The sequence below is a fragment of the Homo sapiens genome, chromosome 2 (assembly GCF_000001405.40).
Source record: "Homo sapiens chromosome 2, GRCh38.p14 Primary Assembly".
In the NCBI taxonomy this organism is placed as follows: domain Eukaryota; kingdom Metazoa; phylum Chordata; class Mammalia; order Primates; family Hominidae; genus Homo; species Homo sapiens.
This window is the reverse complement of record NC_000002.12, coordinates 149148256-149174689: the sequence shown is the minus strand read 5'-3', so window position 1 is coordinate 149174689 and position 26434 is coordinate 149148256. Positions and strand designations below refer to the sequence as shown.

Sequence of the window (26434 nt, the reverse complement as noted above, 5' to 3'; positions counted from 1 at the left end):
AATTAATGCGATTCATCATATAAACAGAACTAAAGACAAAAACTACATGGTTATCTCAATAGATGCAGAAAAGGCCTTTGATAAAATTCAACATCCTTCATGTTAAAAACTCTCAATAAACTAGGTATTAAAGGACCATATCTCAAAATAATAAGAGCCATATATGACAAACCCACAGCCAATATCATACTGAATGGGCAAAAGCTGGAAGCATTCTCTTTGAAAACTAGCACAAGACAAGGATGCCCTCTCTCACCACTCCTATTTAACATAGTATTGGAAGTTCTGGCCAGGGCAATCAGGCAAGAGAAAGAAATAAATGGTATTCAAATAGGAAGGGAGGATATCAAACTATCTTTGTTGGCAGATGACACAATCCTTTTTCTAGAAAACACCATCATCTCAGCCCAAAAGCTTCTTTAGCTGATAAGCAACTTCAGCAAATTCTCAGGATGCAAAATCAATGTGCAAAAAGCACAAGCATTCCTTTACACCAAGCTGAGAGCCAAATCATGAATGAACTCCCATTCACGATTGCCACAAAAAGAATAAAATATCTAGGAATACAGCTAATAAGGGAAGTGAAGGACCTCTTCAATGAGAACTACAAACCACTGCTCAAAGAAATCAGAGATGACACAAATAAATGGAAAAACATTCCATGGTCATGGAAAGGAGGCATCAATATTGTGAAAATGGCCGTACTGCCCAAAGCAATTTATAGATTCAATACTATTCCCATTAAACTATCATTGACATTCTTCACAGAATTAGACTATAAGGTTTCTGAAAGCAGGAACCATGTCTTGTAAACTGAGTACTAGACATGACACTGAACATTCACAAATAAACAAATCTCTGAATTAATAAATAAAGGTGTAGATTAATGTGCAGATAAGTAGCTGGTTTGTAAGCAAACAGAAAAAAAAGGAAGTGATTAGTTAGGTCCAGGATGTGTATCATAACGTAAAGTCAAGCCAAACAAATCTCCCTTCTTTTGTGACATGGTTACAAGATATTACATCAGTAGAGTTCCATACACAACCTAGATTTTGGCAAAGCAATAAATAGAATATTCTATCCTTAGGGAAATGATAGCAAATTATAAGCTGCCAAATAATTTTTTTAATAGATGAGTCTCAACCCTAAATGTGCTAATAGTATCCTGCGGAACTCTGTCATTTATTGTAGTTAACATTTTTATCAATTACTTGAATGAATGAATTACTTGAATGAAGATAAGAAGACATTTTATCAAACTTACTGATGGCACAAAGCCAGGAATGGCAGCTACTATGTTTCATAGCAGAATCAAGATGCAAAAAAAAAAAAAAAAAAAAGGCCTGACAGACTAAAGCATCAAGCTGAAATCAACAAGATGTTAAATATAAACTTATGGTTCAAATAATCAACAGAACGGGCAAAGAATAACCAAGACCTTGCTAGTTAGCAATTCGTCTATATGAATTATAAGTAATTACAAACACCATGTCTTTTTTTAAAAAAAAAAACACAGTAATAGTGCTGCTGCTTAAAGAAACTAATGCACAACTGAACCTCATCCTGAATCAAACAAAATTCTTCTTCACGATTGTATTAGTCAGGTTTTTCCAGAGAAATTCAACCCATAGAACATATATATAAATATGTGAATATATATACATATATGTACACACACATATATATAAGCGCATATATATATATATATATGCTTATTAAAAGGTATTGGCTTATGATATTAGAAAGGCCAAAAAGCCCCATCTGCAAGCTGGTGGTATAGTTTGAAGACCTGGAGAGCTGGGAGCTAATGGTGTTGATTCCAGTCAGAGTCTGAAGGCCTGAGAACCAGGAGCACTGAAGGCAGAACATCCATGTCTCAGCTCAAGCAGTCAGGCAGAGAGAGCTAATTCAATCCTCCTCTGCCTTTTCGTTCTGTTCAGGCCCTTAATGGATTGGACAGTACCCACCTACATAGAAGAGGGCCATCTACCAATTAAAGTTTAGCTCATCTCTTCTAGAAACATCCTCACAGACACACCCAGAAATAATGTTTTACTAACTATCTGGGCATCCCAGACCATCATGATGAGTGTGATCACCATTGGAATAGTACATCCAGTTCTGATTAGGAGGTCCACAGAACAGATGTCCTGGTTGTACCACTGAACAAGGCATAATCTCATCCTGCATCAACTCTGACCTGAAATCACCTCTCCAAGAAGAGCTTTGCCCTTACAAATCCACGCATGTGGTCGGGTAGGTTTTGAAGCCCATGATGACTGGTCTGAAGGAGGAGATCCTGCTGCTGATACCTTAATGTAAGGAGGGTGATATGGTTTGGCTGTGTCCCCACCCAAATCTCATTGTAGTTTCCATAATCCTCACATGACATGGGAGAGACCCAGTAGAAGGTAATTGAATCACGGGGGTGGCTATCCCCATGCTGCTATTCTTGTGATAGTGAGTGAATTCTCATACGGTCTAATAAGTTTATAAGGGGCTTCTCCCCCTTTTGCTCATTCTTCTTCTTCCTGCCGCCATGTGAAGAAGGACATGTTTGCTTCCCCTTCTGCCATGATTGTAAGTTTCCTGAGGCCTCCCCAGCCATGCTGAACTGTGAGTCAATTAAACCTCTTTCCTTTGTAAATTACCCAGTCTCAGTATATCTTTAGTAGCAGCATGATAACAAACTAATACAGAGGCATACGGAAAATGAGGAGGAAATGAGCCAAAAGGGCAGAGGGTAGAAACCAGGGGCCTGGGAGCCACAAAGCAGGGTGCTTGAATTGAAGACATGCAATTCAGGATGGAGGGGAATCACAATGCCATGGGCTCTCACATAGATCATTGGTTTTTATTGTAGATCCTAGGAAAGAAATCACAGAGCAAATTTCAGTAGTAGAGTGTTTTCTCCCTAAACCAACAGAACATCTTCAGCAGCATAGCGCCAATGTTCTTACATCTTTAAATAGTGGAGAAGAGCATTGAAAAAATGTTTTTCTTATTCAAAACCTTTCCCTGCCATCCATATGTTATTGTAAAGATGTGGCCTTTCTTGAGTCCCCCTTTCCATATACTCCTTTCCTCTCCACCTATCCCACTCACAGATATAAAGTAACAACAAGAAAATAGGCTGGGGATATAGGATCAAAAAAAAAAAATCAGACTTCAAAAAAGAGCTCTCACGTAAGGAATGAGAAAAACAGAATTCCTATCCTTGAGTTATAAAAATTGAAAGGGAAGGGGAATTTTGCAGACCCAGATACTGATGAAATGAAGAGAAAGACATCAAGTCTACACAAAAGGTAATAAAATATGTTATTTGTTTTTTGATAATGAAAAAGAAAATAAATCATTAAAATGACTGTCAGAATGCCTCAAGGAGAAGGGCATGGAATAGGACTTGGCTATAAATGTTGTGGACAGTAATAAAAGACTTGGTGTTGCTTCCTTAGCATTTGCCTGGGTTGAGCCTTCCTATTTCACACAGGAATCGCAGGCAATGGTAAAGTCAATCTGCTCCCGGGCACACATTATTGCCTTTCCATTCAGGCCTTATCTGAGAGTCCCAGAGTGGCTGCTCCCACCTGCAACCAGGTCCTATCTCACACTGACCCGACAGGACATGCTGTCAAACTGCCAGGGCTTCAGGATCACCACTTGTTTTATTTTCACAGCTACTAATTATTTCATACATGCCTGCTTATAAAACATTTATTTTTCTTAGTTCTCAGGATTCAAGATGAAGAAGATAAAGTTCCTGCCCCAAGAAGCTCTGTATAAAGTCTAAAGGGCCTGGGATTAATTCTGTGTTGTTTAATGATGTATTTCAAGTGCCTGAAGACAAAGAAAGGTGACAGAATAGCTGTTAGAATAGTGACTGTTGGTTTTATTTAAACCTAGGAAGGATTAGTTGGGAATTTGTAGAAAAAAGGTAGGATTTTCTATTAACCCACAAACTTACATTCAGCATTCTGCCTTGAGTACTTTCTTTTGATTTTCTACATGCCAGGTTTTCCCATAAACCATAATGTTTCAAAATACAGCTCCTACTCAAAGCTATGTGTCTCTAGATCTGTAATAAATATAAATATTAAGACTTTTGAAATAAACTAAACCTTGAAATGAACTGAACACACATGCCTATCAATATTGATTTCTATAACTACCCATACATCCAAATTTAATCCAGGACAATCCAGTCTCACATTTGTCTCCCAAATCAGGCACAACAGGACATAGCACAGAGAACAGAATATAGCACAGAGAACAGTGACGTGATAGAAGACAGATGGTATTTGTAAAATGGAAATGACTCCAGCTGCCTTTCAATAGTCCTCATCTATGATGGCATATGTCAAGTGTGAAAGCCCTCTCAGCACTGTCACAAGAACAAGGCCTGAAAAAAGGTTTACTAAAATCCCCCATGAATACTGAGTGGTTAACATGCAACATGACTATGAAATTACAAGCAAGAGGTACAGGCAAATAACTATCCATTTTCATAGCTGTATCTTTGCCCTTGTGATCAACCAGATTAGCTGTATCATTCTGTACTGACCATTAAGATGGCCACTTTTGGCAATACTGACCAATACAATTTTTCAAATAGAGACATGGCTGAAGACCTGGGCCTATGAAATATCTTTCCAGAAGGATCCACAGCTTCCATGTCCAAGGCACATTTATATAATTCATATTACTAAACAGAAACCTTGGCCCTAGACTCCCATTGCCTGGAGATTTTTATTCAGTGGAAACCAAAATGTACCAGCCTGGATGACTCAGGGGGAGTGGTAATGATGGGATGAGTAATCGTTCTCTTGAAGTTGCTAGTTAGGATAAGAACAGTTGTTCATTACCTGGCGGGACAGGTTTCTCAGGCTGGCAGGGAACAGAACAAATAAATCAATGTCGCTTTCCTCCCTAACATCTTAAAACCCTGTATTTAAAGTCTGCATTTCAGCTCACAACTCAAGGAAGACAATCCCCAGAACTATCCATCTGGCCTCTGGTGATAACAGGGATCGACTGATAGGTGAAAAATGGAAGAGAAGAGATTTGTAACTTCAGTTTCAGGAGAAAAATCCTATGGGAACACTAGCTGGTTGTCTCTCTTAGGTCACTCCCTTGGTTATTTTAGGAATCCCTTGTATACAACTAATGCAGTGTCTTTTTGAAACAAGCCAAACACATATGTTGACAAGGAACAGTAAAAGCCTCTAAAATGGCAGTCCAGTTTAAAGACTTGACAATTGAGAACCTTATCCCCTTCAAAGTCATGCTCCAATCAGACTACCAGAGTAACACTTCCTCCTGTTTAGTCAATCAGGACTACAAATGCCTGCCAGCTTTGCTTTTTAGTAGGTTTAGTTAATTAACATGAGTTTGCCTTTGGCTTTTGCTAACATTGCCTGTTTTGGGGAAGAGACATGTCCAAGAGAAGGACATGAGTGTGATGTGTGTGTTGAAGATGGACAGGTGAGAGACAGCTAGGTCTCTCACCTAGACCCCCAAGAGCGGGTCCATGCATGAATTAGGGTATTTCCTAATTAATCTGAATTAATCATTTCCTAATTAATCTGAATCTCCTTACCATTTCCATAGTGCATTACTCAAATTTACCCTTTTTGAGGGGATATGTTAAAATACAGTTTAATTACAAATGAAGCACTATTTAAAAACCTATAGAAAATACACTGATTTAATAGATGACAAGTAACTGTCTACATAATTGTTGCCCATTAGAGTTCTGTTAGATAATACCTAAATAGGCTCATACCATGTGTGATTTTGGCAACAATCTGTTTGGGTATACTGCTAAGGCCCCAAAGTAAACTTACAAAGACTTGACCACACACTTGATCAAAGAATACCTGAGGCTTAATGCAAAAGAGAAGCTAGGCCCCTATGATCAGAGTGTGTGCTGCAGGTTATATTATTGTCCAAACACATTCATTCATTGTCTATCTGGTGGCACCACACTGGTGGTTACATAGATCTGCCATCCAGGAATAACAACCTTTACCCTTTTTGTTCTAGCAAGACCTACATTCAGAGAACAGGCATGGGGAGCCACAGCTGATAGCAGACAGAACTCAATATTCACAGCTTAAATATGGAAATGACCATGGTGAGAACAGGCAAATCAGGCATGGGCTTGTCGTATTTAGACACAGAAGAGGTTTTCATCTCCATTCTAGAAAGACTTTCTAAGGATGAAATTTCAAGGGCAGGTTAAAGTTAAATTTGGAATGTGATGCTTTGGTTGGATTGTTGATAACAAGCTTTAAAGAAGGTGCCACTGAGGATTATGAGAACGTTGCTAAAGTGGCTGCTACTGTGGACTGGAACCTGACGGGCACATGTGCAAATGTGTAAATATGCCTTTAACCATTGAAAGCACCATCCCCAGCTCCTCTTCCTCACCAGGAACCAGCCTAGAGCAAGGTTCTTTTTTTTTTTTTTTTTTTTTTTTGAGACAGAGCCTCACTCTGTTGCCCAGGCTACAGTGCAGTGGTGCAATCTCTTGGCTCACTGCAAACTCCGCCTCCCCCGTTCTAGCAACTCTCCTGCCTCAGCCTCCTGAGTAGCTGAGACTACAGGCAAATGCCCCTGCGTCTGGCTAATTTTTGTATTTCTTGTAGAGATTGGGTTTTGACATGTTTGCCATGCTGGTCTTGAACTCCTGACCTCAAGTGATCCACTTGCCAAGGCCTTCCAAAGTTTACAGGCATGAGCCACCACACCTGGCCCAAAGGTCTTTTTAAAAAAACAAAAACAAAAACAAAAAACATAAAAAAACCTCTATGTTTATTATTGTTAAGCAATCATCGTCACTGCAAAGAAAAATATAAAAAGAAGGGGCTTCCACAGACTTTCAAGTATTGTCTTTCCTGCAACACTGGTCATAAAACCAACAAGAAAGGGGAGCAATTAAACCCAGAAATCCTAGGGTGAGTCAAAATTGCAGTGACTTAAAGGAATTGCCACATCTGAAACATCCTCTATGGTGATAAGGTGAATAAAACCTCCCTTTCAGGAAGGAGGATGACTTACTCATGCACGTGAGGACCCTGTGGTGAACCACAATTTTCTGAGCCTGCTCCCCCACTGTCCCAGAAGACCCAGCTGTCTCTCATCTATACCTCCCCACACACGTACCACACTCACATCCTTCTCCTGGGCACCACTAGTGCCCCAAAAAAGGCAATGTTAGCAAAAGCCAAAGGCAAACTCATGTTAATCAACCAAACCTCCTAAAAAGCAAAGCTGCAGGCTTTGGTAGTCCTGATTGACCAAGCAGGAGGCAGCAAAAAGGACAGTGGTAGGTTTGCCAGATATATCACAGAAAGCAATTAAGTTTATGGCAGGGAAAAAACAGCTCCAAAGCCCCCTGAAACAAAAGACGCTTCCTGCCTGTAGTCTGTCCTGGGCCATTCTGTCATAATGGCAGGCTGAGCTATTCAACTGCAGCAGCCAACAGTAAAATACTGTTTGGAGAGAGAACCAGCCCAATCTCGACTGCAGAGACCTGCCTGTCAGGTTTTCATTTCTATGCTAGGGGATAAACTGTCCCAGCTGGTTTGAATAAGAAACGAGGAAAGTGAGCATCCACAAGAGAAAAAAAAAAAACACTTAATGCAGAAGAGGATTATAAACTCTTCAAGATTAGTTGAAGGAAAAGATTATGAAGGTAACAGGGTTTCCACTGGTATGGGGAAAATAACCCTAGGATGTCGTGGTTGACAAGCAAGAAAGCTGTCCTGAGAAGTTTTTGGTGTGGGAAGGTGAGCAATGATGGAAGGGGCGGGGCAGTCTGCAGCTTGGGTCTCCCTAGTCCCCATCCTGTGATCTCTCCTCTCTGGTGGGACCATGCATGTCCAGATTGCCCATTTTCCAGCTCAGATTCTAGCTGGAGTCCATATTAGGGTGAACATGCAAATTCTCATGAGTGCAAAGTTGTAGCAAACACTCTCGGTAGCAATGCAACAGACATTGATGCCAACCTGAGCCCACATAAGACGATGAGGGTGTCAGAAGGAGGCCAGTTGTAGAGTCAAGAGACAAGGATGGGATTTAAGGGAGATAAGATGCTAGACAGCCAGAGTGACTTCCCTTAAGCCTTAGATTGGCAGTCTCTCCCCCACTCCATAGCTAAATGGAGAGTGAGATATGACCATCCTGGAGACGCAAGTCTAGTCCTGGCTCCTAAATGTGCCATGCCCCTCAAACAGAAAGGGTCCCTAATTTATAGATTAGAAAACTGAGGCACAGAGAGGTTAAGTAACTTCTTATTGTAACTCATATTGGTACTATGAGCCACTTTATTCATGGCTGCAAGGGTGACCTCAAAAATGTCAGCAAAATTTGTCATTTTTCTTAGATAAACCACCTGTTCTACCTGGACACTGGACTTAATTGAGTTCAACAAACCCTAGATTAAAAAGGCTATCAACCCACCCTTTCCTTGGGATAGTCCTTAAACAAAAAGCTAAATAAACACAACATTTTTTTCTTTGAGGCTAAGTCTTTCTGATTACTTGAAACCAAAAAATAAGAGGCTACCTGAAAGGTTATAGAGGGCGTTATTAAATATCCTCATTCTTCAAATGCCTGCCAACCAAAGAGAAGAATAAGAACCCTCTACCTCCACCCCTACCCCCAGGAAATACTGTTGGGCTCAGGAGAATTACTGTGTGTTCCATGGGATAATAAGTGTCTTTATTACATCTAATTAGGGTCTCCTATAATGTGACAGAACCATTTTTGGTCACTTGGGTGTACCCAGGAAGGCCTAGCAACCATCTCTAAATAGCCAATCCCCCTGTCTCTAGAAAAACCACACAGTCCAAGAGAGAACTCTGCTAGGAGTCAGAAAGATGTAATTTCCATTAACTTGAGAAGCATTAGGGTTAACATGCAGACTCTGAAGCCTGACCTCCTGGAGTGGAATCCCAGGTCTACGACTTAGCTGTATGACTTCGAGGGAAGTTGCTTAACCGCTCTGTGCCTCAGTTTTCTCACCTATAAGTTAGGGATAAAAATAACACCTATTCATAAGATTTTGTAATGACCAAATGAGTTATGATATCTAAAGGACTCCATATAGTGCTGGGCATATAGTAAAAACAATATTAGTGCCTGCTTGTGTTGTTATTAACTTTATTATATTCTTAGGTACATTACTGAAGACCTCCACTTTCCAGACTCCTCTCAGATGGGCTGACAAGACCATCCCTATTCCAGGATTTTTAAATGACAAAATAATTTTAAAGTAATTTCAGATTGCTTTTATAACAAAGTTAAGAGCCTGCAATAAATTTAAAATGGCCATGCATTCTTTGCAGCTACTCCAAGTTAGAGGTGGAGTCTATTTCCAATGCCCTCCCCTTGAATCTGGGCTGGTCCTATAGCTTTCTTTGACCAACAGAATGTGGCAGAAGAGAGGCTACGTAATTTCTGAGTTTAGGCTTCAAGCTTATAGTTTTTGCTCTTGTCCTCTTGCCAGAAAGTTCTGTCATGTCAAGGAGGCTGAGCTAGGCTATTGGAGGGGCAGACCATGTGGCAGAAATGAGTCATCTCAGCTGAGATCCCCTAGATCACCTAGCTCCAAGGTACCAGCTGAGCACAGGGGCATGAGTGACCCCAGGTGAAACTAACAGAAGAACCACCCAGCTGAGCCCAAATGGCAATATTAGCAAAAGTGCCCAAATTGCTGACCCACAGAATCATGAGCAAATTAAACAGCTGTTGTTTTAAGCCACTATGTATGAGGTGGTTTGTTGTGCAATAGATAACTGATGCAGAGCCCTCACTGATACAAATGAGGATTTATTATCAATAGTATTTCAAACACACACACATAAAACCAGGCCACTTGCCAGCAGGTTTACCAACCATCACAAGGTGTTTCCAAGCTCTTATATCACCCACCTAGGGCCAGTGAGGCAGCACATTCACTTGGAAAAAGCTAAGACCAATTAGTGATCAAATTTGGGAAGATGGAGGCAAGCTTTCAGCACCAAGGTAGGGTGCCAAGTTAGATCCTTGTAGAGGGATATCGTGGGAATACAGGATTTTGTTTGTTCCTTTTAGTCTGCAATAGAATACAAAGCCAGAAATGCCTGAATTTGGCTTCCTTGGAAGCAGTGTTATTCCACAGGTCTTGGATATTGCACAACAGTGTGGGTAGACACCTTCATGGCATGAGTCACAAAATTCAAGATCAGCATCACTAAGGGAGAATCAGGGGAGCCAGTCAGAACCAATCATGTCATATCCATGGTCCAGATATGTGGCTCCAAGAATGCAGGAAGCCCAGAATGCCTTCATTTTATTCTGCTGGTAAAAGCAAGTGAAGGACTTCAGGATATGCCACCCCAAAACACACTGTATTAGTATGATTATTTTGAGCTGAAGGCATTTGAAAAACAGCAAGTGCAGAGAGAGGCTTGCTCTGAGCTCCCCTTATCTGCCTAAAGACAGACAGATGCTCCAAAAGAAACTAGGTTGTCATCAATTCCCTCCACAGAAGTTTCATCAACCAGAGGAGATTAAATCTTATCACCGGTAAGGAAACTAGAACACACACCCCACCCAGACAAACTCTGTCACAAACTACCGTATCTCCGATCTATTCTTCTGAGGGCCCATTCATCTTCCCAAAAAATCATTTACTCTTCTCTTATTTGCCTACGTCCTTCCTCCTCTCTCTCTTACGAAGAGAATATATGAGCTCCTAAATCTGACTATGTCTTTGGATATTCACTTTCTTTCCTATGATGCACTCATGCATATAATAAATTTGCATACCTTTTCTCCTGTTAATCTGCCTGTTGTCAGTTTATTTCATAGACCCAATTGTTGACCCCCCAGGTTAGAGCAAAAGTCTTCCCTTCCCAAAACAAGAGAATGATTACATTCTAAGCTTTGATTTTACTGTGACCTAAGCAAAAGGTTACTTCACTCCAGGACACAGGGGGAAAAAATAGCAAGTTCCATAAATCAGTGTTCCCTCACCTGTAACCTGAGGGAAGAACTGATACCCAACTTTATAGGGAAATTACTCTGAAATATATGATGAGAGGATCTGGAGGCTTAAGTCCCCATTTGTTATAAACAAAGCTAACACATTGAAATGAAAACAATCTTACTCAATTATTTGATAAGCTGGACAGCCATGATGCTAAAGGTTCTTACACAAGCCCGGTAGCCTTTGTCTGTGCATTACTTGTTTGTTCTTCTGTTTGTTGATTTCATACCTTGTACTATCTATTTTGTGGGTATGTCAGCATGGAGGAAGAAGTTTGTTGAGGGTGCAGAGGCGGGAATGGCAAGAATTATATAAAAGTAAGACCCTCTCCTTCCAAGAGCTTACAGGTCTGATCATCTTGAAAAACAAAATTCCCTGCTTAAAGCATCTCAGAGTAACTCCACTGAGCTCAACCAAAATTGCTGCATCTATTGAAACTCCTCAGGTTATGAATCAAGAGAGTTCAGAAAACTCCTGACTGTGTGGAATTACAGAGCTGATGAGATGTTCACAGATGAAGATGCCATAAAATAAAGTAACTTACAGCTAGTTTTGGCACAGAGCTGAATCTGGGCTCCAGGCAAGCAGGACTCCTGCCCCACCCCCCACAGAGACCCCTCTCAAGATGCAAGGTATTTAAAATGTGAGGGGATGCAGGCACCCCACAATTCCAACCCAGTTGCCCAGAAAACAGAAATTAGCTATCACATATGGTGAGCAGAAACTCCGCACTTATCACGTAGGAGCAAGTCAAGGATATAACTTCTTGTGGAGTAGACTTAAGGCTCTCTAACCATACACATTTAATAGAGTACTCAGCAGCCATTAAAACAGGCAAAAGCGCAAGAAACGACTTGGTTACGTTTAAAGTTCAAAACTTAAGTACATAGAGACTATGTGAAAAAAGTAAATACAAAGGGGAAAACAACAGCAAAATACACTAAAGTGTTCATGACTACAACTGGCACCTTTTAAAATTGGGTGATTTTTACTCTTAATTCTTTCTGCTGTTCTCCATAGGCCAAATATGCTTTAACGATCTTGAACTACTTAAATGCTCTTGAATTTTTTGGCTACCTTCATGCAGAAGAGATAGCTAGAGTGTCAACAGTAGGTGGTGGTCAGGACAAAAGGGAATGCAAGCAGGGGTGAGTGTGGACATCGAGTAAAGCACAGCCGTAAATACTCCACATGGGTTGGCCCCATTCAGTGCTGTTCAATGGGTTACATTCCAGTTCTGCCACCTTTTAGCTTGTCTAACTTTGGGCAACTTACCTAATCTCTTAGGTAAGCCTCAGTTTCCTCAACTATAAAAGGTGGATATTAATAGACCCTTCCTTACAGGAATGCTGTGCAGATTGAGTGAGAGAATGCATGCAAAATGCTTAGGGTGTTGCCTGGTAGACAGTAAGAACAAACAAATGTTACCTGTAGTGATGGTGGTGATAGAGATGGTTAATAATAGAGTTACATTTTATCACCACGGTGATCATGATGATGATGATCCTGACACTGTTTAACACTGTTACTAACAATGAATTACGTTTCCTTGCTTTGGAAAATGACCCAATGTTCCCATATGTCTTATGACTAGACCGTCATTCCTCTGATCCTCAAGTCCTCTGGGTTTCTTACTAGCAGATTCTTAAGTTGAAGTTACAGCTCACATTCCACCCAATATGCCCCGGGGAAAAGAGTGATGATAATATATAAATTCCTGCTTGTTGTCTTGGGCCTTATTAGGGTCATAAAATGTTATCCATTTAGAAAGGCATCTTAGTAGATATTTTACAGAATTCTGCTTTGTACTTGAAACATATAATTATCATTAACAAACACAGGTGCTAATAATTCAATCTGCTCTTTAGGCAAGAAACAGGAACATAAACATGGCCCTGGCCAGATCAGCTCATAATCTTAAGCAATTTCCTTTGCATGTTTCCTCCCTCTCTTCCAGCCATCAGATGCAAAGTGGGAGGCCTGTTTGACAGGCAGAAGGCCTCTGGGCTGGTAGTTGATAGCCTTGATAGCCAAGAAGAAGACCATGAGACAACCAGGCCCAGTCCCCGAAGCCTCACACAGGCATTCCTTGGCATTTGCCACCTGCCCTCAGAAAAACCAAACCTCTGATTTGATGTCTTCACCTAAAAAAATGGAATCAGGCCTGACACACTAACCTGGTCAGCCTGCGCAGTAAGCACCACACCTAAAACCAAAAGACAAAATGCATCAAGTAAAAAGCAATCATCAATTAAACACATAACTTTCAATGTGCCCACGTCCATCTATGCTGTCTCTCTTCTTTGTTGGGGTAACACTCTCGTCCTGTTTTAGATCAGTAAATATTTTCTAAGGCTTAACATGCAAAGATTCTGTAACTACAAATGCTCAATAATTAGTGCACACATGTTCTAAGTGTATTCGGCAATGTATTTCACTTAATGCAGACACTTTTGAACATTGCTCCACACCCCCGACGCACCCCCATCTGTCACTGAGAAGATTACTCTGAGGAAGTTCTCTTTCAATTGACCAAATTAGCTTCTGTGGTAAGCAGAGAAGTCTTTGATCTACCAACCATTCGCTGAGCATGGGGACTCCCCTTTTTGGTTCACCAGAATTGTAACTTAAGCACAAGCCAGGCTTCCAAACCGCAGGATCACAGTGAGCAGTGAGGGCTTAGGATGGGAAACCTGGCAAACTGCCAAGGAGATGGGAAAAACACAGGGTCCCGGGACTTTCAGGAGTCCATTCCCAACAACTTAACCAGAGCTCCCAAATGAAAAGCCGAGGGCTGTTGTAACAGCTGCCATTCTTACCTTGAGAAGGAGAATGTGGTTGTCAGGCTCCTCTCTGGAACAGTGAAAAGGTTTGCACTCAGAGTAATCAGCCTACCAGAGATAAAAAAAGATAAGGAAAGAGCCACTGCTGACGATGAGTAACGTTCTTGAACAACTGGAATGTTTTCTAACAAAAGGCAGGTTTCTGGATGTTTGGAGATGTTTCAGAATAGAACAGCAATACAGTCAATTGAACAATATCAAATGCATGAAATCCCTGGAATCAAGTCAAGGTGGGGCCATTAACATTACAGAGAGTGTGAGCTAGCGTTTTATTAACACACACCTGGGCCCCATCTAATTAAGAATGGTAATAATTGGTGAAATCATACACCTCATCACATCCCTCCACAAAAATGGCTGCTTACCAAAGAGCTGGCAGAACTCTCTACAACACTGGCATATATCAGGGTATTTGGCAGGCCGTAGCATTCACACATTCAACACATCCACAATGAAGACTCTGTGCCATTTAACCTGGTTTGGAAGACAGCCCTACCAGCTGATGAAATAATGACAACATGAGTCTTGAACCCAGATGAGGAGGTGGGAGGGAACTGGAATGTTTCCCTATATGCATTCAAATGAGCAAATATAAAAGACAAAAATTATGCCCAATTTTAAGAAAATTCTATTATATATTTATACCTTTTTTTTTGGTAAGAGATGGGATCTCACTCTGGCCCAGGCTAGAATACAATGGTATGATCATAGCTCACTGTAGTCTCAAATTCTTGGGCTCAAGCGATCCTCCCATCTTAGCCTCTTGAGTAGTTGGGACTTCAGGCATGTACCACCACACCTGACTAATGTGATAGCTAATTTTATACATCAACTTGGCTAGGCTATGGTGGCCCGCTGTTTGGTCAGACATCAGTCCATGCCAAGAAGGTATTTTTTATATGTGATTAGCATTTAAATCAGTAGCTTTTGAATAAAGCAAATTACCTTTCATAATGTGAGTGAGCCTTATTTGATCAGTCGAGGCTTTAAGAAAAAAGACTGAGGTCCCCCAAGAAGAAATTTTGCCTCCAGCCTCTCTTTGGACTCAAGATTGCAACAATAACTCTTCCTTGGATCTCCAACCTGGTAGCCTGCCCTATGAATCTCATACTTGCCAAGCCCCACAATTGTATGAGAAAATTCCTTAAAATAAATCCCCTTGCCCCTACTCTCTCTCTCTTTCTATACACACACACACACACACACACACACACACACACACGCACACATATGCTCTCTCGGGCAGGGTTCTCTGAAGAACCCTAATTAGTACTAGTATGCCATCTAATTTCAAAAAAGAATGAGTTCATTTACAAAACATATATACTATGTAGAGAAGACAACATAAAAAGAGGCTGTAAGAACATGAGAAAAAGTCCACAGAAATGTATGTTGTAAGGTAATTATTACTTGATGTGGTTCAAAAATTAGGCTCTGAGCATGCTAGTAGCCAAAGCAAAGAAGAAAATAGACACACTATGGTCACATTGAACAAAATATAAAATACCATACACATACTCCTCAAGAGTGTTAGCTTTGTGTCATTGAGAAATTTCTTCCAAGGTGTTAACCTTCCCTACCTCAAAGGATCCTTTATCATCCACATTTGGGGAGGAAGAGGAGAGTAATTAATTAACAATGTCTCTAAGTATACACAGTAGGGAGTCTCCTATAATGTCTTCTTACTGCATCCCACAACATGAAATACGACACCAAAGTACAACACACTAAAGTGATCTGGCAAGGAAAAAAAAACATAAAAATCTGATTATCTGGCCTGATCCAGGGATAAAAGTTAGAATTTCTGGAAAAACTAATGAACTCCATATCCTTTGAGTTATTTCCCATAAATGTTATTATTTCTTCCAATAAAAAGTTGGGTAGGAATTGGGCTACAACTGTCTGAGACTACAGTCCTGGCAACAGCCTGGAGTAGAAGTTTTCTCTATTGCTGATTAGTAGGAAATCCATAGAAAAACTGCCCTCAGGCAGGTTTTTAAGCTCAAGTAATATATGTCTAAGGAATACAAAGTTTAAATTTTATATGTTTGTATGTGTATAAGTCTCAAATATGCTTTCTGCATTGGAATCAATATTTTAAAACTTTTTTATTATGGTAAAACGAGCATAATGAAAAGTTTATCATTTTAACCATTTTTAAAGTGTCTAATTCAGTGGCATTCAGTACATTCACAGTGTTGTATAACCATCACCATGATCCATTCCCATAACTTTTTTGTCGTCTGAAACAGAAACTTTGTACCCTTTAAATGCTAATTCCCCATTTCCTCTACCCTCAGCCCCTGGTAACCTCTATTCTACCTTCTGTCTCTTTGAGTTTGACTATTCTAGGTACGTCATATAAATGGAATCATACAATATTTATCCTTTCTTGTGTCTGGCTTATTTTACTTAACACATTGTTTTCAAGTTTCATCCATGTGGTAGTATGTATCAGAATATCATTCCTTTTTATGGCTGAATAATATTCCATTGTAAGTATATACCACATTTTGTTTACCCTGGAATCAATTTTTATATAGTTAATTCACCGAGTAATTATAGAGTACTTACGGTGTGAAAAGTCTTTTTAAAATATTAGCTACATTCTTAAGAACCATATGTAAGAGGTAGAAGAGTTACTCCACAAGAAACCAGTTAATTATACAAATCCTAGTTTCAGAATCAGTAGTAGCAGCAAGAAAACAAAAGTCTGTTAAATAGTTTTTCTTCCCTAAGGGTTTGGTAAATCTCCCCACCCCAATCTTAATTAATGTTCTTCATATTTAAAGCTGAAGCGAGACTACAATATCCCCTGCTACGTGTAACTCTTCATACCATGTGGCTAAAGCTTAGAATGTGTCATTCCTGACCCCCGACCCAGTGATAATGAGCTTCTGTCAAAAAGCTGATGTCAAGAAGTCAGATACTGCAGTAACCTGAAGCATCGGTTTCTATCCCCGCAGGTAAAATATCACCCAAAAGTTTTTCATTTCTAGGGTATATAAATAAGGTAACCAGGCTTCCGTGTGCAAACATAGGTCCTCAGAAGAACACAGCTCTCAGCAAGAGAATCTAATAGTTGAAAGAAAAGGGGAGAGGCTCCACTGCTGGTCTTCACCTTCAACGTGTATGGAAGAGCAGATGGCATGAAGCAGGCATGTCAATGCACACCCGAGTTCACAAAGCTGGCACAGTGTGAGTCATCAAAAGATGTCCAGAGAAAGTCAACAAAAAACAACCATTTTTGCACACTGGCAAGGGAATTGCAAGCAAAATCAATAGCCATAAAGGATTCAGGCCACTTTGTTCAGCATAAACGTCTCAGCTGGGAGGATCTGCTGTCATCGCAGATTGTTAGCACTTGGCTGAGTTGAAGTTCATTCACTACTTTTGTGTTCAGTTAGTTGGGAACATGTCATTTAAACAACAAAAGCTCTTGTAGAAAACTATAGAGAATTAAGTCTTGAGTTCCTCCTGTGTGTTTTTAGACTGACTTCTAGAGCAATAGGTTTTTTTTTAAAGACAAAATGAATACTGTTAAGATTGTTCTTTTTAGTATATAAGTAAGCAGTCCTTTGCCTCTAAAACAGGAGACATTCCCATAGGCTGCAGAAGCCGGCCCCCGACAGGCTGAAACTAGGATGCTAATACAAAGGATCTCAAGCTAGCCTAATCAGGAGCCCTCAGAATGAAAAAGGCACTCAGCTCTCTGTCCGAAGTAATTACTTACCCCATCTCAGGACATCAGTAATACACATTCTGGATAGATGAGACGCAAAATTTGAGAGCTAAACTTTTAACTGTGAATACCATTCCTACCCTCCAAGTGTGATTAAGTTAATTCAGGCCTTTCTGATGTACAACCACACCCCCACTTCCCCTAAAATAGTCCCATTAGCCTGAATCCAATTCTCAAAGGTAAGAACCCCAATAAGGCAATCAAGTTTTATCAGTTATGAAATTGAACTTGAATTTGTAGAATGACAATTCCCTTCTGTTGTGGGCTGAACTGTGTACCCCAACCACACCACACCAGATTCATATGTTGAGGTCCTAATCCCTAGTACCTCAGAATGTGATGTATCTGGAGAGTCTTAAGAGGTAATTAATTTAAAATGAGGTCATATGGGTAGGCCCTAATCCAATCCAATAGGTGACTGGTGACCTTATAAGAAGAAATCGGGACACGTACATACAGATGGAAGAAAATAGGAAGACACAGGGAGAAGACCATCCACAGGCTATGCAGACAGGCCTCAGAAAGACCCAACCTTGCTGACACCTTGATTTTGAACTTCCAGCCTCCAGAAGTGTGAGAAAACAAATTTCTCTTGTTTAAGCCACATCATCTGTGGTGCTTTGTTATGGAAGGCTGAGCTAAGACACCTCCCCTTAATCTTTCCCCTCCAGGATTGCCAGGATTCCCAGGGAAAAGTCTGGAAAGGTCACGGGGACACTCTGTGACCTACTCAAGGACCTCACTGTCATTCATTCCCTTATCCCCAAGCAGGGTAATCTCTAAATCCAAAGAAAGTCACAAACAGGAACACCTCATAAACTTCCTGAAGATCCCGACTCTGAAACAGGAGACCACTGCCTTCCCCATGCCCTCTGATCACCATAGCATGACACCATTCTGCACCCTTCTCAAATGCTCTGTGCTGACTAGAGGTTCCACTGCAAACAGCATCTTTGGGATGCTGTTTCCAGAAATCATGTCCTCATTTCTCTTACTTGACACCCAGGCTGGCTCAGATGCCTTAACCAATCACAATTTCCTCTCTTTCTGAAAAGAAAAGGAAGAGTAGGGGTAAAAATCCTTGCACATTACAGAAGCAAGTCCAGAGTAAGAGATTACCAGCAACAAAAAGACTTCCAGTTGCCTCAAGGCTTGATTCATAAATAATCGCTTTTTCCTTCACTGGAAGAGTTCACACAGGAGAAGTGATTGATGTCCTTTGTTAGTGCTGAGAGGCATGAACACCATAGTTTAATTTCTACAGCCTCCACAGACAATGTTTGACCTATAGCATAGGCAGGCATTAGGCCTGACTCCCAATCCTGTGGCTCAAAGGGGATTGCAGTGTATTCAGAGGGAGAGCAAAATAAAATGGACTGTTGGGAGGCAAGTCACAAGTGACAGTGGTAGAATGAGGGATCACTTAGCCTGTCCTCATGTTCCAGATCCATTAGACTCCCTGGTCTTGCTCACCAGCCTCCGGACAAAGCCAATACAAGCTGAGTGCAGCTTTGCCCAGAAGTATCCACAAATGAATATGAAATTTCCTTTGCTATTAGAAGTAATGCCCTGCAGCACTCCCTGGGGCAGCAAACAAGGCCCTTGGTTCTCTCCAGGCTGCAGTGATGGGCTGGGAGTTCTTGTCCAGGGCACATTCCAGCCGCAGGGCAATACTGACACTTGCACCTGCCAAGTTTCAGCAGTGGAAGGAAAAGGAGAGGGCCTGATGCAATTGGCCAGGTGAATAGAGAACTTGTCAAACCATTTAGATAAGACAGTCCATGAATGCTTTCAGTTCCCATAACCAGAGGGTGATTGTGCTTCTGCCTGCTGCTGATTCTGCGGGCTGCAGAGCATTTTCCTAGCAAGGAAGGGAGAAGCAAAAGGATGATTTCTCAGCCTGTAAGTTCCAGGGCTCTTGTGGTAATTCAGCATGCATCATGCCTCAAGCAAAGAGGTAATTTTACTTTAAGGGATCAAGGAACATACCCTTGACACTGAGTGACTTTGTAACAGAATCTCAAACTCGATGGTAAATTTTTTAAAAAATTCAAGTATCCAATTAATAAAAAAGAAACAAAGCTTCCATATGCAGTTCAATATTCCTTACTTCCCTTATCAATTGGTTATGTATTAGCTTTACTAAATGGTTTTGTTTCAATTATTGGATTGTGAGTATTTCGCGAGTCCATATGGAATCATATTATCTTGTATCTCTTTCGGTCCCTAGCATATAGCATTGGACACAAAATAGAAACTCAGTGAATGCTCAATTACTGATTGCTTCTTGCTTTTGAAATAGTTTTTCCTGTAGGGAAGCAAATCTACTGTACCTGTCTCATTTTTCAATAACACCACTCCGCCACTCTCCCCACACCACCCCACCCCACCCCATCCCCATCACCAAATGTTGCCAACATCAGCAACAGGATATTCTCAATGAATATCTATCTTTTCAGTGGATCACATAAAATAACAAAAGTTTAGGATGGAGCTGGTTGGTAAATTCTTGTGCTGTATGTTTAAATCTGAACATAATCTGAATTAGTTTCCTAGGTCTGCTATAATAAATTACAAAAAAAAATGGTGGCTTAAAACAACATAAATCGATTCTCACATTTCTGAAGGGCCAGAAGGCCATAGTCAAAGATGCTGGCAGGGTTGGTTCACTCTGGAGGCTCTGAGGAAGGTGTGTTCCAGCCCTCTCTCCTCCTAGTTTCTGGTAGTTCTAGCAATCATTGCCATGCTTTGGCTGCATAACTCCAATCTCTGCCTTTTCTTCACATGCCCTTCCCCTTGTGTCTGTGTGTTCCTTCCTTTCTCTTATAAGGATAACAGTCATTGGACCTAGAGTCCACATTCAATCCAGGATGAGCTCATCCTGAGATTCTTAATTACATCTGCAAAGGTACTAGGGGTTGGAACTTGGATTTTTTTGGGGGGTGGGGGGATGGGGGAAATACAAATCCACTATAATATTCAAAATGAGAAGACATCATCTTTACCACAAAACTCCATCTTCTTCCCCATTCTCTTCATTATTAGAATCACCATCCTCCTAGTCAGGAGCCAGGCTGAATTCTTGAGTCATCTTCAAGGGCTCTCACCTTGTTGCTCCCCAATGCCAATAAATTCCATAATCCACAGTAATGAAGGACAAGTGCATCAGCTGTGCCCTGCAAAAGTTATCATGTCTGTCCTCTCTTTTCCATGCCTGCCGTCACGATCACCCTGGCCCCAGCTTGGATCACCTGTCTTGGACCAGGTAAAGACTTCTTCTTTTTTTTTTTTCTTTTGAGACAGAGTCTCACTCTGTTGCCAGGCTGGAGTGCAGTGGCACGATCTCGGCTCACTGCAATCTCCGCCTCCTGGGTTCAAGTGATTCCCCTGCTTCAGCCTCCCGAGTAGCTGGAGCTACAGGAACGCACCATCATGCCTGGCTAATTTTTTGTATTTTAGTAGAGACCGTGTTTCATGATGTTGGCCAGGATGGTCTCAATCTCCTGATCTCGTGATTCGCCCGCCTCGGCCTCCCAAAGTGATGGGATTACAGGCATGAGCCACCGCGCCCAGCCAAGACTTCTTCTTAACTATTCTCCCAGTTTCCTTTACTGATCATACCACATGTCTGCCTTAAACAGATCCTGACCATCCCACGACACTGTCCACAAGCTTTCAGTGGCATTGAACCAAATAAAACCCAATCTATTTACAACCAAGCACCCAGGTCCACTAGAATGGGTCCCAAATCCCTCTCCCAAGCTTATTTTCCACTGCCGTCCTCCATTTGGTCCAAGCCCTGGTCAAAACAGATTACTGACTGTCCTTAAATAGAGCCTCCAAGTCTTAGAGGACTCTGCCTGGGATTTATTCATTAATTCAAGAAGCCCTTATCTCAACCCGTGTGCCTTGTTAATATCTTACACAGAAAAGCCCAGCTCAAAACAACTTACCTATAAGACCCTGTTCAGCTTTTATCAACCACACTGGATTCCTCCTTTTAAAATTTAACAGCATGCTTGACAGATTAGGGAGTCTTGTTTTCCCCTTCCTTAGGGTACTTACTGCTCCATTAGGGGACTTAGTGCTTCCTTAGAGCACTTGCCATAAGCCTCATGGCAGAATATAGATGGAACTGTTACCCACTGCAATGCCCAGGTGACTTAGCTGGACCCCTACCCCACTTTTGTTGCCCAATGCAATGTTTATGCAACATAGCTAAATTCCTACTGAGCTTTAACCCTGCTTATTTTTAGGAAACAGGATGTCTGTGGTCAGAAGTTCCTTCTTAGGCAGCTTACTCAACCTCTGAAGAAACTCTAGCTTCATTATAATCCAATTTCCATACTGAATGACACTCCCACCAGTGCCAAGACAGTTGACAATTACCATGGCAATGACTGCATGAGACCAAGAGAGGATAAAATAAAGGAAACTCTTTGATTCCTAGAAAATCTTTATCCCTTTCTAAGAAAAAGCATGAATATGCCTCCCATTGTCCTTAACGCCCAGCCCCTTCATTAAGGATGCCCTACGTCTGTAACTTCCCAGTTCTTAGCAACCAAGAAGTTGATTTGTGAGCTACATTCCCACTTGTCCAATTCCATAGCCATTGACTAAAGCCTGCAGCGCTTGACACTCACTTTTGGTTTTGTGTGTTGGCTTCATGAAAATGAATAGGAAAGAGCCCCTTTCTGGGGTAACCAGGACCCCAGGTAACAGAACTCTGCTTTAGTTACGTACATACCCCATGATCTAGCACAGGGCCTTGCATATGACATGTACTCATAAATATTTGATCAATAAAAGATATATAGAATAGGTGAATAATACAATCCTTGTGTTTAAGGAGCCTGCGTTTGGTGATAGGGGATAATGAGATAAGCATAAAAGTGAATAACAATGACCTATACCATAATATTCTAAGTATCATAAAAGAAACATAAAAGAAATTCTGTAGGCAGCACAGAAAAGAAAGCTTTTGAAAAGAGAGGAGTTTTATGAAGGAGGTAGAACTTAAAATAGATCTTGAGGAAAAACAATATTTTGATGAGCAAATGTCGGAGAGTGAGGGAAAAGAGTTAAATACAGAACCAAAAGCATCTGTAAAAAGCACAGAATGGTGAGTAGTGGAAGGCAAGGCTAGAAAGTGAGGCCAGCATCTGGAATATCACAATAAGGAATTTGAAATTGAGTCTACAGGAGATGGGAGCCATGGAAGGCTTTGGAGCTGAGGTGTGATATAGCCTCATCTGCATTTTCAGATGATCATTTACACAGCACCGCAGAAACCAAGCTGGGATGTACATCAGAATCACCTGGAGAGTTTCCAAATTGCTTAATATATACAGAAAAGTACAAATAACAATACAACACTTCTCCATTCTCCAACAGCTTGCTAACAACACACCCAGAAGCAAGCTAACTTGTTCTATAGAATCCCTGAGGAGTTTGGCACCTAAGGACATCCATCGGCAAAAAGGCAGCGGTGAATCTTAGGTTGAAAACAAGGTGATTTTTAAAAAGTAGACAGAATAACTTAGACCTCCAGAGCATCTCCTGAGCCCTATATGGCATGGCACTGATCCTACGGAAGACTACAGCTTCCTCATTTGGAAAAATTTAACTGGAGAGTTCTCTGGACTTGAAAGCATCAGGCAAAATGGAGCAGTGGATAAAGTATGAGACTGAGAACTGGGAGATTCAGCCACAGTCTGAATACTGAAGCACCCTGCACCTATAACAGCTGCAGAAACACAGGCCTTCTCCCTGTGTCCTCCTTCACACCCGGCCTCCCTCCTCCAGGAGACTGGAGAATTCTTCTCCGGAGAAACTACAGTGCCCCAGAGGACACCATATATACCCACCACCCAGCGCCTACAGGAGAGCCCCACCCATTCATACTGAACTTTCAGCTTAAAGACAGCCCAGGATCACCAGACATTGGAGGCAAACCTCCCACGTGAAAAAGTGGGGCCAAAAATAACAAACAATACATTGACCTCAGAGACAATAAGGAATACAAAAACTGTATTTTTTTCTCAAAAGATAAAAATGTCATCGGGTTATTGTTTTACAGATGCAATATTTCTTTGTAAAAAGAATAATGAGAATAGGGTAGGACTCTTAGAAGTAAAAAGAAGTTATTAGAAAATTTAAAAAAATCAGTAGAAGGGTTAAAGATGAAGTCAAAGAAATCTTTCAGAAAGTAGAAATATTTGTGAAGGGAAATGATAAAGGCACAGAAGATCAGTACACGAGCCAAATGAGTTCTAGAAATAAACAAAGGGAAGAAAAATACAAGGAAAGAAATAATCAAATAAATATATATTTTTAATTTTTTACGACTAAAGTACATGAGTCTCCAGTTTGAAAGGGCTGAGAGAAGGCCCAGCAAAATGAATGAAAAAATACATGTACATTATTGTGAAATTTCAGAACCAGAGAAAATGCTAAAAGTTTCTGGAGAAGAAGGGGAAAAAATTACAAATAAAAGATCACAAACCAAAATGACATCAGACTTTTCCACAGCCACATATATAGAAAAGCATGGAAAGTAACTATAAAATCCTAAAAACAAACAAACAAACAAACAATTTCACTCTTTGTTCAACCCTTAAACTTGAGAGATAATTTTGCTGATACAGAATTAAAGACACTTTTATATATGCAAAGGATCAAGAATTTGACTTCCTATTAAAAGATGCACATGAAGAAATCAGAGGGTGTGCACCAGCAAAACAAACGAGTAAGCAAAGAAAGAGGATGATGGATTCAGAAAACAAGAATATCAGAACAAAGAACCACCACAAAGGGAAATAGCAATACAACAGCTCCACACCAAGCATACAGAGCAACCCATCCACATTAACGCAAGAAGATTCAGGGCTCCAAGCTGCTTATAGCAATGAGGTTTACATATGCTCAGTCAATAATAACCTCTAGGTACAGTGAGAAGATATACAAGAAGGGAGTAGGTGATCACAGTACATGTTGGGTAAGCAGTGGCAAAATTGCAGAATCATAATAATGTCAATTGTTACCACTAATTTAACTAGAGCCTTTTGATATAACAAAAGGTCATAGATAACATCCCAAACTGATAAGACAAGAAAGAGTGGTATACGCATGTTATTTAGAAATGCAGAGGTCAATACCAAAAGAAACAGCTACAACAATAAAGGAAGGTGGTCTCTACAGAGCAGGACTAAAGGATGTGGATCATAAGGCTTCTATTATATGCCCTTTAGAGGTTGCATGGAGATAAAGAAAGGGGAAGGATTGATTCATGGATACTTTCTGAGGATAGACGATATGAAGGAAAGTTCAAGATGTTCTTCTACAGTTAGAAGTAGGGGAGGTTATACACAGGGAATGAAGCAGGGTCGGGGAGGGTGAGAAAAGAATTTAATCAAGGAACACACGTTATGGTGCATGTGATACATTCTTGTTTCTTGTGCAGAAGTCTTCCCTGGCCGCTTGGAATATAAATTCCTCAAAGGCAGGTACTTCCTTTGTATCTTTTACAGGGATTTGCATTCAGTAGTAATTTTAAAAATCTAAGTTGAATGTTTGAAAAATCAGCTAAGATGAATAGGGCCAGCAATTACTATGCAGACAGGACATAGGGGTGTGCGTGTGTGTGTGTGTGTAGGATTTGAGTACAGGAGGAGACTAATTTATGCTCAATAAACTATGAATGAAAGAAAAATAGCATACAAAATCACACACAAAATTAACTCTTGGAAATCTTTCAAGAGAGCTTAGTTTCTTGGTTCGGGCTCTGTTTTTACCTGTAAATGAAGAAAATAACATGTGAAGACACATAAATGTTCAAGTTCTTTCTATTAGGTTGGTGCAAAAGTAATTGCAGTTTTGCCATTACTTTTAATGGTGAAAACTGCAATTATTTTTTCATCAACCTAATAGAACTCTGGTCATTCTTGCGTAACTCCAAATGCCTGGAATGTTCTTCCTCCCCGCACCCCTTGTCAATGTATCCTTCAGGTTTCAGGTTAGCTGCTTTCTTAGAGGTCTTTCCATGCCCCCTTCTGCTTCGGTTAGTTCCCTGGGTACTCTCCCTCGTACACAGCACTCACCACCTCTTCACAGCACTTAGCATCATTTCCAGGTATGTATTTGATTCAGTGTTGCAGCTACTGTTTGCTCAATAAGACTGCAGGCTGTAGAAGTCTGTAAAACACTTGTTCGTCCACTGTCCCATAATCCTACTCTTTGCAGTCAGCCAAGCACTCGTGTCACACCTGTGAGCCATTGCATCCAGCCTTCCTCAGCACTGCCCTCAACAAGAGGAGGCAAACTGGCAATCTAGAGGGCACAGAGAGGGGTTTAATTTGGCCAGCACAGTTTTTTAAATGGAAAAATTCACACTAAAGTCTATATTTCTAACTTCTACTGAAAAAGCAAAAGGGCTGGCCATTTCTGACTTACGTGATAACACCACACGTCTGGAAACTAGAGTGAGAAAAGAGACAGGCCAAAAATGTATGAGCCTGGACATCCCTCTAAGGAGATGGTTCAGAGCTACTATGAATTTGCAAAAGGTCCATGAGCCAAAAAGAGGTTAAGAGCCTTGAAACAGCCCCTCTTCCTTCCCCAGCATTTTATGATCTTCTAAGTGTTTTGCCCTCTGCTCCCCCAACATCTGTAGTTTGGCAAAGATCCGAATTTCACTCCTTTAATCTCTTGTCAGTCACTCCCTCCAGCCCTTAATCACTTTTATGACTTTCCTAAAAGCCTCCAATTTGTCCAAATCCAACTGTGAAGTCCTGCATTTCTTTTCCCTGGGAAGAT

General features: G+C 40.8%; 1 protein-coding gene across 29 annotated transcripts in view; it reads right to left on the bottom strand.

Annotated features, from left to right (window-relative positions):
- The window catches only part of LYPD6B (LY6/PLAUR domain containing 6B), a 176564-nt gene that overhangs the window by 40573 nt on the left and 109557 nt on the right, over positions 1 to 26434 (bottom strand). For 12 of the 29 annotated variants that reach the window (XM_047443412.1, XM_047443404.1, XM_047443411.1 and 9 more), the window contains one exon: positions 13855 to 13926. The exons of 10 other annotated variants lie outside the window; for them this stretch is intronic. In XM_047443412.1, coding sequence (XP_047299368.1) covers positions 13855 to 13926 — 72 coding nt within the window. Of the gene's footprint in view, positions 1 to 13212; positions 13242 to 13854; positions 13927 to 15458; positions 15470 to 18523; positions 18668 to 20625; positions 20797 to 25719; positions 25949 to 26434 lie in introns of all 29 variants that reach the window. 7 more of the 29 variants (XM_047443407.1, XM_011510620.3, XM_047443406.1 and 4 more) reach the window with 6 other exon arrangements.